The sequence below is a fragment of the Homo sapiens genome, chromosome 2 (genome assembly GCF_000001405.40).
Source record: "Homo sapiens chromosome 2, GRCh38.p14 Primary Assembly".
Taxonomy (NCBI): domain Eukaryota; kingdom Metazoa; phylum Chordata; class Mammalia; order Primates; family Hominidae; genus Homo; species Homo sapiens.
Window position 1 is genome coordinate 130005078 of NC_000002.12, and position 13570 is coordinate 130018647.

The following is a 13570-nucleotide window of genomic DNA, read 5'->3' on the forward strand; positions in this document are numbered from 1 at the left end:
GTGTGTGTGTGTGTGTGTGTGTGTATGTGTGTGTTGGGCCATGCCAAGTTTTCCAATTCTATCCTGTGATCCAGAGTGTATGCCAAAATCATGTTGAACCTCGTGGCTTTTGAATAAAATAACTATGGGAAATTTGAAGCTTTTAAGAAAAAGATGGTGTGATTGGAAGAGATTTTTAAGAAAAGGAAAGAAGCTGGACATGTAAAACCATGCTGGTGATTGAATTAATTAGTGAATGATAGTGTGAAAGAAGGTAAGAAAGAAATTGAGAAAATAAATTGCTTCTATTTCTGGAACTGTTAGTGTATCCCCAGGACTACATTTCTTTCTTTCCTCCTTCTTCCTTCCTTTCTCCTTCCTTCCTTCCTCCCTCCCCCCCTTCCTTCCTTCCCCTGTAACTGGCCCACAGGGGAGAGGTTGAACATGCTTCAGCTGATCTGACTTGAGTAACAGGAAAACTGAAAACTAGTTACACTAGAGGCCTCTTGCTTTTTGTGGGATAATTTCTCAGGAAAAATTAAAAAAAAAAGTAATGAACACAATTGGCTTTGGAAGTTTCAATGCAAATATTTATAATTTTGGAAGTTTCCAAATGCCTTTCCAAATGTTCCCAATTGCCTTTGCCTTATATAGAGATTTAACAGAATCATTAATGTCAATCAGAAACTCATTTTTGAAAGTTGAGAAAAAGCAGCTTTCACACAGGGAAGCCTGGGGCAAGCATAAACACATTACTTTTCTTTCCTACAAAAGAGTCTAAAAATTATCAAGGAACTCGTAAAATAAAATTAGCACTTCTATTGTGTGCTTCTTTAATAATCAACAATGTTGCTCGCAGTCCCAGCGCTCCGAACGACGGTGCCTCCGGTTGACAGCAACCTGAGCGGACCCGCGCCTAGGCCCTCCGCCAGGCCTGCGCTGCCTCGCCCCGGGAGAGGAAGACTGAGCCCGGCTCAGGCGGCTGGAGCGCGCGGGCCCGTTTCCTTTCAGCGATCAGTCCCCTGGCGTCCCAGCAGCGCCTTCCCCGCGATCGCGCGTCCCCAGCGCACGTCGCGGCTGCCAGCTGCTGCCCTGACCGCCGGCCCAGACGTGCCCGCGGACGCCGCTGACAGCGCCTGTGCCATGGGGCTGCCTACTCTGGAGTTCAGCGATTCCTACTTGGACAGCCCGGATTTCAGGGAGCGCTTGCAGTGTCAGGAGATTGAACTGGAGCGAACCAACAAGTTCATCAAGGAGCTCATTAAGGAGGGCTCTCCGCTCACTGGGGCGTTGAGGACAGGTAATGTTGATTGCCTACCCAGTTCCCTTACCCTTTCACCCTTTCCAAAGGAACACACCTCTACCCAGGTTGGGGATCTGTCTATGGCAGTGCAGAAATTTTCCCAGTCATTACAAGATTTCCAATTTGAATGTATTGATAATGCTCAAACAGATGATGAAATTAGTATTACTCAGTCACTAAAAGAATTTGCAAGGCTACTCATTGCAGTAGAAGAAGAAAGGCGAAGACTGATCCAAAACGCTAATGATGTATTAATTGCACCACTTGAGAAATTTCGAAAAGAACAGATTGGTGCAGCAAAAGGTGGAAAGAAGTTTGACAAAGAGTGAAAAATATTACTCTATCCTTGAAAAGCATTTAAATTTATCTGCAAAGAAAAAGGAGTCTCATTTGCAAGAGGCAGATACACAAATTGATCGAGCACATCAGAACTTCTATGAAGCATCATTAGAATGTCTTTAAATGGCTCACGCCTGTAATCCCAGCACTCTGGGAGGCCGAGGCGGGTGGATCACCTGAGGTCAGGAGTTCGAGACCAGCCTGACCAACATGGAGAAATCCCGTCTCTACTAAAAATACAAAATTAGCCAGGTGTGGTGGCACATGCCTGTAAAGCCAGCTACTCGGGAGGCTGAGGCAGGAGAATCGCTTGGACCCAGGAGGCAGAGGTTGCAGTGAGCCAAGGCTATGCCATTGCACTCCAGCCTGGGCAACAAGAGCAAAACTCCGTCTCAAAATAAATGAATAAACAAATAAATAAAAATAAATAAAAGAAAAAAGAATGTCTTTAAAATTCAAGCGGTTCAAGAAAAAAAGTTTGAATTTGTTGAACCGCTTTTGTCATTTCTTCAGGGTTTATTTACTTTTTTACCATGAGGGATATGAACTTGCCCAGGATTTGCACCGCATAAGCAACAGCTGCAGTTCGACTTGCAGAATACAAGGAATAATTTTGAAAGTACTCGACAAGACGTAGAGGGGTTGATGCAGAGGATGAAATCTGCCAACCAGGACTACAGACCACCCAGCCAGTGGACGATGGAAGGCTATCCGTATGTCCAGGAGAAACGACCGCTTGGTTTTATGTGGATTAAACAGCCTTGTTACTAGCTCACCGGAAATGTTCAAAATCTTGTATCCGACGAAAGACAGATTCAATTGACAACCACTTCTGCTTCGACATACAAGTAGTTGAAAGGCATGGGATCATCACATTACAGGCCTTCTCAGACGCTAATAGGAAACTCTGGCTTGAAGCCATGGATGGGAAGGAAACGATTTATACTCTGCCTGACATTATAAGCAAGAAAGAAGAAAGGTATTTGAATGAAGCAGGGTTCAATTTTGTGAGAAACTGCATTCAAGCTGTGGAAACAAGCAGTATCACCGTTTTAGGCCTCTACTGAATAGGAGGAGTGAACTCCAAAGTTCAAAAACTTGTGAATATCATATTTTCTCCTAAATCCCCTCCTGATATTGATATTGAACTGTGGGACAATAAGACAATGAGTGGGCTGAAAAACTACCTCAGGTGCTTTGCAGCACCACTGATGACTTACAAGTTACACAAAGATTTGTATCATTGCTGTTAAATCTGATGACCAAAACTACAGGGTGGAGGCTGTACATGCATTGGTGTGCAAATTGCCAGAGAAAAACAGAGAGATGCTGGACATCTTAATAAAACATCTGGTCAAAGTATCACTGCACAGCCAACAAAATCTCATGACTGTCTCAAATCTTGGTGTCATATTTGGCCCAACTCTAATGAGAGCACAAGAATAAACTGTAGCTGCTATGGTGAATATTAAATTTCAGAATATTGTGTTAGAAATTCTTACAGAGCACGATGAAACGATTTTTCATACTGCTCCAGACCCAAGCACTCCTCTTCCTCAGCCTCAGTCTCGATCTGGATCCCAAAAGACACAAGCAATCTGCCTCTCTACAGGCTCTAGGAAGTCCAGAGGGACGGGTACTCCATGCCTGGCTGAACCTGATAGTGACTCCTACAGCAGCAGCCCAGACAGCACCCCCATGGGGAGCAACAAGTCACTCTCTTCTCTTTCCTCAGAACAAAATAGCACTACAAAGTCAGCTTCCTGCCAGCCCAGGGAGAAATCTGGAGGGATTCCTTGGATTGCAACCCCGTCATCTTCCCATGGACAGAAAAGCCTTGGTCTCTGGACAACCAGTCCTGAATCAATTTCTAGAGAAGATGCAACAAAGACAGATGCAGAATCAGATTGCCAGAGTGTTGTTTCGGTCACTAGCCCAGGGGATGTTTCCCCACCCATAGACCTAGTCAAGAAAGGGCCTTATGGACTTTCAGGACTGAAAAGAGCTTCTGCTTCTTCTCTCAGATCCATCTCTGCAGCTGAAGGAAACACCAGCTACAGTGGATATATTCAAAGCTTAGCTTCTGTAGGTTCCAAGGAGACACCCAAAGCTTCAAACCCAGACCTGCCTCCAAAAATGTGCAGGAGGTTAAGACTAGACACCGCCTCAAGCAATGGCTATCAGCGTCCTGGCTCAGTAGTGGCAGCAAAAGCTCAACTGTTTGAAAATGTTGGTTCACCTAAGCCAGTTTCTTCTGGGCACCAAGCCAAAGCCATGTACTCCTGTAAAGCAGAGCACAGCATGAGTTTTCCTTCCCACAAGGAGTGATATTTTCCAGCGTGGCCCATCAGTGGAACCAGGATGGTTAAAGGCAACTTATGAAGGCAAAACGGGACTAGTTCCAGAAAATTATGTTGTCTTCCTCTACTACTATTTAGTGGATGGCAGTATCTTCATGGTATCCATGGTAACAAATAATAAGTGCTATGATTTTATCTGACACAGATACAAGGGGATCAGCCCACTAACTGAAAACAGTCAATTTCTATCAAGTTCTTCACCAGCAGACTATGTAGCTCCTTATTAATGGAAAAAAAAGGTTTAAAAGGTTGGCCATTCTTTTTTGGTTGGTTTATTTTAAAATTTCTTGTTTCTGAAAAATTTATTTTTGGATAATACGTAACTCTCCAGAATGTCTCTTCCATAGCAATTGTAGAGTTTCAAATACCGTATTAAGTACTATCTCCCAGAAATTTGGAAACCAGAAATCTGCTGTATGGATTTTGAGATGCGTCCTTTACTGCCTGGCATTCTCTGAGGATCTGTGAAACTGTTACTTAAAAATGTTACTGAAAAGCTAGTTACCTGCCCTTTGAGTGCCACAGTCCTGACCTGCTTGTTCTTGACACCTTACATATTACTTCAGAGTTCCCCACTGTGCAGACTCTCAGGTATTAACTGTATAAAACTCTTTACATGCTATTATAATCTGTAATCTCGATCTCTTCTACTATTTCTCTTCTACTATCTTTTCTACTGTTTCTAGAATAGGTTAAATACACATATACACCACAACTATGCCTCAGAAAAGTTATGCTTTTACAAATAAAAAGAATAGATTAGAATTAACAAGTAGGGTGAATAACAGTAGGCAGAGTCAGAATCAGAAATAAATATCAGGGGATCAAAATAAGAGAATGAAAAATATTCTGTAATAAAAATTAGCAATGTAATGTAAAAGTCTGATAAAAGATTATCTTTTTCTTTTACCTCTTTCTGTTGACCTCTGTACACTGTAATAAGGTGTTGCTGGATGGAACTTCTTGGTCTAGGTCCTTGGAGATCTTAGTAGTAATAACAGCATTCCTGACACTCTAATTACCCTCGGCTGAAACAGAAGGTAGTCTTTCAATGTACCAATCCCTTAGTCTATACTTGGTTTAAACACACTTGCCATCATCTGGTATCCTGCTAGATTAGAACCTCTTAAAAGCAAATTGGTTTTCTTTCAAAGACCAACTTGACTCCAAAGAGAGATACAGAATCCTACTTCTGCTGCTGCATAAAGAAATCTCAACCTTCATTTTACTTGAACACAGACCAAAGTGTTCCTGCTTCTGAGTTGTCTGTGAGCTAGTTCTATGGATGTTCCATTCAGATTTAAAGCTTTTTTATTGCACAGGACGTGGATATGAAGCCTAACTCTTGTATCTGATGGCAAGGCATATGTTGTAGCCACAGTGCTGGCGATGGTCCCTTTGCTGAAAGAAGCTACAGAAGCACTGATTCAAGCTGTGTTTGTGCTAGGAGTTTTAATCTTGTAGATTTGTGAGGATGGCTCTTTTTCCTTCATAATAGATTACATGTATAAGCAAGTCAGGGCCATGTACTGGAGACAGGCTAAAGCTGCTTTTCCCTTAAAGAAAGTTTCCTACAGACAAGGTATTTATGAGCATTGAGAAAGTCGGGACACGTACTCTAAATCACACAGAATGTTAATTCCACAGGAAGGCAATGCCAGACATTGGAAGAGGATCACATTCGACTTCTAATAGTAGTTCAATAACAAAACCTTAGCTTTTCAGAAACAATGTTGATACATTAGAATTGCCACATCCATACCTTCAAAACATGCAATGTGTGCACCCCAATCACTGCTTACAGTATAATCAGTATGACGATGAGATTGAGGGGGTCTAAATTTATCATCTCCTGTGTTATGTGAAAATATCCCTCAGTACAAAACATTTGTGTATTTCACAGATGACTCTTGTTTTGCCATAACGCTACAAAGTTTATGGAAACTAGTCAACTGAAGGATTTTTCTGTTGTGTGATATGTAAAGGTCTGAATAGTACAATCATCTTTGTATTCCTGCAGTGTTAAAAAGTAATAATCAACATGTCAGATTGTTGGGCTTTTCTTAGCAGATGTTTTCTAATTCAAAGTTTTTGGTTGTGTTTTTGTTTTTTAGTTCAAAGTTAATTTGTTGGCCTCTTGAAGATTAATTTGTCTAAGCTTTCTAGGAACTTCCAAACAGTGATATTCTCAAAAGGATTCAATAAACTAGTTCAAAAAATGTTCCTATCTTCTATTGCCTTAAATCTAATCATGTTCTGTGAACTGCAGTCCTAGTGTGTAACACGGCGTGATTTATCACCCAGAGTTCTCCACTGTATTTCAAAGTTGATTTACCTCAGGAAAACTGAGGGTTTATTGAGTAACTCAAATTTTTCCAGAGAAACTGGTTTGAAGTATCCAGTGCAACCTGCCAAGCTCTGTCTTTGTTTATAAACCCACTTACTGGTGACATCATTCAGGGAGTCCCTCTCTAAAAATCTTGAATTTTGTCTGGTCTTCTCGGATGAGGAATTCTGAACCTGGTACAATCTCATTCTAACTCTTCTCTTATGTACTAAGTACTTATATTATATACCTTTCTATAACTTAAGAGGAAAAGGCTGACATTTTTGGTATTCTTTCAGTGACATATTTTTCAGTGTCTAAGCTCACAATCATTCTTAATTAACTACATGATTTTTAATATAATTCCTACTACTTTGGGTTTTATTTCCCAGGTATGGACATTGTCCTTTTAATGTTTTCTTAAGGAACTATTCAGAGTACATTATTAACAACTTAAGGTCCTAAACAGATATACATGGGACATGGTTGTTGTAAAAAGAAACAAATCTGTAAGACACTAGGAAATTCAAAATGCTTTCAAGCTTTCTTTGAACTTTACTACTGAATGATTTATTTGCAACTTGTTATCTGGTATAGTGGGGAAGAGCCACTTATGTCTCTTTAAGCCAAGATATATTTAAGATAACAATAAAGATAAAATATCAGTTTCACTATCTAGATTTGATTTTGACACAATGAAAAGCTGATTGGTTCATAATCAAATGAACAAATTTTCCACAAGTAAGAGATGAAACCCCTGGCTTGGAAATCCTGGGGATTGACAGGTTGAACGTCCTTGGTCTGTGGTGAGCATGTTCACGTTTCAACACATGAGATCTGGTGTGCTTTCCGTAGCAGCTCCTCAGATTTTGAGAAAAACTAGAAGATAATTTTTTAAAAAGCAATGTTGAATACTTAGAATCGTATTTCTAATAAAAATAAGTCAAACTATTTAATTTTGATAAAGTTTCAAAACTAAACATGAACTGAACTTATACTTGATGACATAATTTTATAAATTCATGATGAATTTCTTATTCTGATTTATTTACTATTTTAAAAGATAGGTGTTTCTTTTCTTCCACTGTAAAAGTGTAATGTGTTCATTGTATTTGGAAAACGTGGAAAGTAGAAGATGACTGTTCTTATTTATTCACTTTTACAGAGGGTAATTTTTTCCACACCATAGAAGTAGAATAATCATACTTCTAATTTGAAAATTTGAAAATGTAAAAAAAAAAATTAATCCAAGATCATATCAACATTTAGGGCTAAGAGTTGAGATTATACTGAATATGGTTTTGCATTGAATATATTACAAGCCTTTTTGTGTCATTTACTATTTGATAAAACATGATTTTTAATGCCTGAATACTTTTCTAACACTTGTATGTATTGTTGTTTATTTAATCACTCCTCTATTGTGGAACATTCAAATTGGATCCAAGTTTACCATAAGTAATACTACAATAAAAATATCTATACATTATTTGTGATGTCTCTGGTTGTTTTCTTAGAGTGCCACCTTAATTATCTTTGTGAGAAAGTCCTCAAGAATCCTGCCATTAATTCAGATACTTTCCCCGCTATTGATATGTCTCTTTAAGAGTTCTGAAAATACTTAAGAAACTTAGTAAGAAGAAAGAAAATTAATCCTCTCTTCTGATTCTTCAGTTCCAATTCTCTGTGGCCACTGTATTTTTAAAAATCCTGTTGTCCAAAGCATCTCCCATTTAATTGTTTCTCTCTGACAGCAGGGAAACTGGAAGTTAGAGGTGATACCATAAAAGGAAATGAATGAAGCAGATGTATGAATTTTGATACATATAACAGATGTCTTTTGATCACACTTCCTGGGCAATATAGTAGTAATCAAAGGAAAACTGGTAACATTTTTCATTACTATGCTTTAAAGAAAAATTTCTAAGCCTCACAGAGCTGACATGGTTTATTACCTTCAGAAACACGGTAGTACTTAGCGTAAGTTAGAATCCATTCATTATTATGTGTGACTGGAGAGGTATATTGCTTAAAAACTATACCAGGCCCTACTTAGGAACAAGTTCCAACTGCATTTAAATCACTCTGTTTATGTCAAAATACTTAAAGTTAAATAGCAGAATCTAGAGGGGTCCTTGATTAACATGAGACAATAAATATTTGCAGAATCTGATGCCTACCAGAGGAAACACTAACCCAGACAGGAAAGTTCTTCAGAGTAAAAATCAAGAAGGGTGAGATTATCTATGCAATAGAAGTAAGTCTTGGCCTGGACCCAGACAAGATCATTGCACAAGAGATTGGTTTTGGAAGTAGATTTGGCTGAGATTAAAGTCTCGAGTGACATGAAGACAATGTTAAAGATAAATCCAAACTCTTCTTTATTGCTTGACACTTCTCCAATCAGCATCAACTTCATTCCTGGTAAGTTGGTGTAGTATGGTGAGTTCTGCCTTATTTCATACTTTATTTGGTTAGAATCTGGGGGAGGGGGTAAAGGTGTAGGTTGGTTATTTCAAATGTGCAGACGACCTCCACCAATTTTGCAGTATAGTGCTATTACTTAAGGGAATACACCCATAAAACTTTGATTTCCTAGTAATTCTGCTTTTGTGCATTCTTAATTTGAGACTCAGTGAGGGTGCAAGAGCTGTAGATTTGGCAAACACTGCACTATTTTCTCACATTTTTTCGATTTGCTAAAACCAGTAACAAATGTATTACCCCTTTTTTTCCTTTAATTTTTAAATCCACGGCCTTTTCACTGCCTTTACTTTCCATGTGTTGCCACTGTATCCTCCACTGAATCCCCCACATTGGGCCCAGCACTTGACACTTAGTAGGCACTCAACCAATACTTGTTGAATGAATGAGTTTAATGCACTGCAGTTTTTTTAGTTTTTAGATGATGTTGTACCTAATGCACATGCCTTCCTTCTTTCACTCCTTCATTAATCCTTTTGTTCATGTCTTTTACTTATGCCAAGCTGTCACACTGTGTTCATGAACTGACAGATTTATTTTTTCTTCCACAGCCCCAGAGCCAGCAAATGACTGACCTTAAACCTAAAACTGTAGGAGTTTGGTCAGTGTGGTGGGAAAAGTTGTAAGAAAAGGTTATAGGGAAAGACACAAACCTTCTTGGAAGAACGGGAGGTTTTGCAAAAGCTTCAAAAGAGAATTTAGCTGAAGGCAGTTAAATTCTCTTAAGAGCAAGGGTTAGATAACAAGGGAATGTAAAGAAACTTATCTAGATAAATTGTTCTACTCATATCTCTGGAAACCAACCTTTGATCATTCATGTGCAGGACTGCTCTCTACTTGGGGGGTTGACAATGTTAATTACCCACAAATTGTGTTTGCTCCAAGCCCTTGTCATTAAATCTGTACTAAATAAATGCAAGTGGGGCCAGCTTAGGGAAGCTGCACTCCTTTCGGCTGCTGCACTCTCTCATCGGCAGCACTGAGTGGTGCAGTCCCCTAGCCACACTGTCAGGAAAAATACCTGTGTCAGCGAACTCCTTTCATTCATCACTTGGCCAGTCTGCGGGACAGATCGGCATAAAACACCCATTGGTTTTCGCCTTTACTCTTGCAGAATGAGTTATAAAGCCAAAGACCTCAAGAAAAGCACACTCCTTAACAGCCAGTTCAGGGGTGACAGCCAGGGAATAAGAAAAAAGAACCTTCCAGAGGATGGAGCCACCACCAAAAATGATGGAAAAGAGGGTTCCTCCCAGAGAGCAGATTCAGAGGCTATTTAAGGAATTTCCCCATGCCCTGTGTAGGGAGCTTCTCACTACTTGCTACTCATGATTTCCTTATGGTTATACTCTAGGGACTGCTGCTTGCCTGTCTTCTCTTTCTTGCATAGCAGGTTTGTTTAATTTTATTTTTTTCTTCAATTATGGTGGTGTTTTCACTGTTCTACCATGACAAGAGGTAGAACAGAGATATTTTTTACCTCTACATGGGAGGCAGAAAATTGGCCTTTTTATTCAAGAATGCCAAACCAGAAGCTGACATATCAGAATCTGATACAGAGTACAGTCTATTCCCCTTTGGACTTTGGACCTTGGAATTTGAACTGGATGCAATAATGGTATGAGACCCTTGGGTAGGAATGAGTGTCTTGTATGTGTGGGAAAGACAGGAAGGCAGGTATTTGGTGACCTAAAAAGAAGGCCATGGCAGAACCTCATTAGTTGTTCAATAATCCTATTTTCCTTTCCTCCTGGGCACACAGCTATGTATTTTCCAGCCATCCTCATATATAGATGTAGCCCAGTAACACTTCTGAGGATGGAATATGGACAGATGTGATGGGCACTGCTGGACCTGGACCATAAAATCCTTCCACATGATGTCAGTGCCCCTTTTACCCCATTGGCAGCTGGATATTGTCATCCAGAGAGATGGATGACTTAGAAGCCACGTGCAGAAGATGGCAACCTTCCATCAGCATGGATCCTTGAGTGACTGTGGAGTGCAACGCCTTCTACCAGTTAGAACTACTGTGATTGACAATCACATTTCATTTGTATTAAGCTACTGATTTGGGGGGTTTATCTCCTTCAGCTCCCACATTAGTACAACTCATGCAGAATGGAGAGTGACTGTGAACACATGTGGCACAGGCTGCTGAAACCTAGGACTTTATAGATGAATTCCTGATTATACTCTCCTTTCTTGCAAAAAGCTTTTTTCAAATTAAATGTTATAATACAAATGTGAGTACTTAAATGTCTTTCTAATGAAATGATGACTAACTGTAGGAAAGAAAATGTAGGAATGTATACATCCTTGATAAGAGTGTGAAACTGATACAGGCAATGTAGAGAGTCTTGCTTAGGGATAATGAACAAAAGAACATACCTGGGTAAAAGAAATGAGAGGTTACTGATAACAAAACTAATATTTATATTGCACAATATAAAACATTATTTTATACTTAGGATTACATTTGATTTTTGCAAATCCCTGTGAAATAGCTATTATTATCAGATCCACTTTATGCATAATAAAAACAAGACTCATATGGGTTAGCTAACTAGGCTATGGTCTCTCCACCAAGCTCTACTTCTCTGATTGAGGAGATAGTAGTATCTAGAGCTTCAGTGTTCTTTCTACTGCCCTATGCTACCGCCCAGTGCAGATGTAAGAACAAAACCTACTAGTAAACTGCTATTGACTGTTTAGACCTTTAGCAACTTTAATTATCCAAAACATAGCTGTGAGACCAAAAAGAGGAAAACAGTTTGCAAAAGCCCACATTTATTACACCATGAAAGAGCCAGGTCTGTGAAATGTTGCCTAGAATTTGTGTACTAAACTCAGCAAAATGAATTAACAAACTCAGTGACCTCATTTTCTCCTAAATTACAGTAAATGGAAGATTTAAAAGATGAGAAAAATAAACACAGAAAACTTCAGTTAACAGGGTAGAGGATGACGCATTGAAAGATTGGGTGTCCATGTGTGGTATGTAAAGGCAGGTCCTATGAGTCTTAGGCAGGCCTAGGCACGTGTTCTCTCTTTTTGTTGTTTGATTCTCAATTTACGACAAATGAAGAACGAGGCCTTTACCTGGTCTGGATCGACTTGTTATGGAGCCCATGTGAAATGAAAATGATTCATAAACAAAACTGATTCCATCCCCAGCAACAGCAGAGATGACCATGAACAATTAGCCACCTGAGAATCCTCAACAATTCTTGGGGAATTCATTAATTACATTTTATTAAAGGGCAGGGATATCCAAGGTGACATATGGGTTACAAAGGCAAAGTATAATTTCTTTATGGGTTTTGTTAATGTGAAATATAAATTAATAAGCTTTTTGATTTTACTAATACAAACATACCCATCAATTGGTCTTCTTCAATTCAGAAATAACTAGAGTTTGAGGGTATCTTAAATCCAAAAAATAAAAACAAAAACCTAACCAGCAGCCATTTGCTGAATTCCTGAGTGCTTGGGACTCTCCATTTCTAGTCTAGCAAACATCTTCCAGTTGCAATTTTAAACCTTTTTTCCCAGATCTTTCAAGAAACCTCTAATAGTATCAAGTTCAGCACACAAAGCTAGCTTTCTGTAAGCAATCAGTCTCATCTACCCACCTTTACTTTAGACAGGCTCCTAAAGTCAACCTGAGAATAAAAAGGACTTTTCTTTTGTTATTAAAATCTGTTCTCTAGCCAGGTGTGGTGGCTCATACCTGTAATCCCAGCACTTTGTGAGGCTGAGACCAGAAAATTGCTTAAAACCAGGAGTTCGAGACTAACCAATTGCTTAAAACCAGGAGTTCGAGACTAGCCTCTACAATGTAGTGAGACCACCATGTCTACAAAAAAAAAAAAAAAAAAAAAAAAAATTAGCCAGGCATGGTGTCACACACCTGTGGTCCCAGCTACTTGGGAGGCTGAGGTGGGAGGATCACATGAGCCCAGGAGGTTGAGGCTGCAGTGAACCATGGTCATGCACTGCCCTCCAGCTATGGTGATAAGAGCAAGACAGATGTTTCAATAATTTAAAAAAAAGTCTGTCCTCTGCCTCAAATGGACTTTGCTGTCATATTAAAACTATTGAAATATGTATAAACCAGGTGTGGTGGCTCACACTTGTAATCCTAGCACTTTTAAGAGGCTGAGGCAGGAGGATTGCTTGAGACCACAAGTTCGAGACCAGCATAAGCAAGATAGTGATACCCCATCTCTACAAAAAATATGAAAACTAGCCAGCTGTGGCTGTGTGTGCCTATATTCCCAGCAACTCAGGAGGCTGAGACAAGAGAATCCCTTGAACCCAAGAATTTGAGGTTACAGTGAGCTGATTGCAAACTGTACTCCAATCTGGGAACCAGAGTGAGAACCTGTCTCAAAAAAAAAAAAAAAAAAAAAAAGGAAACAAAAGAAGAAGAAAATATGTATAAATGAATGTTTTAAATTGGAACAATTACTATAGCATGAAAATGCCCATTTGATGAGACGTGAAAATTTCTTCTAAAGTATTTATCCATTTCTGGTTTTGTAGCAAAGGCATTATTATACTTCTATAACTTGTCTTACAGAGTCAGATAGAATCAAGCAAAGTTGGCAGAGCCTAGGCATCTACCTAAAAGAAATGCTCTCTCCCATTTCCATGAATACTTTAACTCCTGAGTTCCAGTGGCACTATTTCTGGAGTCCTTTCCAAGGCACATAATCCTAAAGCAGGTGTCACTTGTTACTCTCTTTCAAAGCGTCTTGCTCTTTTTCTTCACAG

General features: G+C 39.3%; 1 pseudogene; it reads left to right on the forward strand.

Moving 5' to 3' along the window:
• Positions 1-1122: 1122 nt before the first annotated feature.
• Positions 1123-4212, forward strand: ARHGAP42P2 (ARHGAP42 pseudogene 2; annotated as a pseudogene).
• The last annotated feature ends 9358 nt before the right edge of the window (positions 4213-13570 follow it).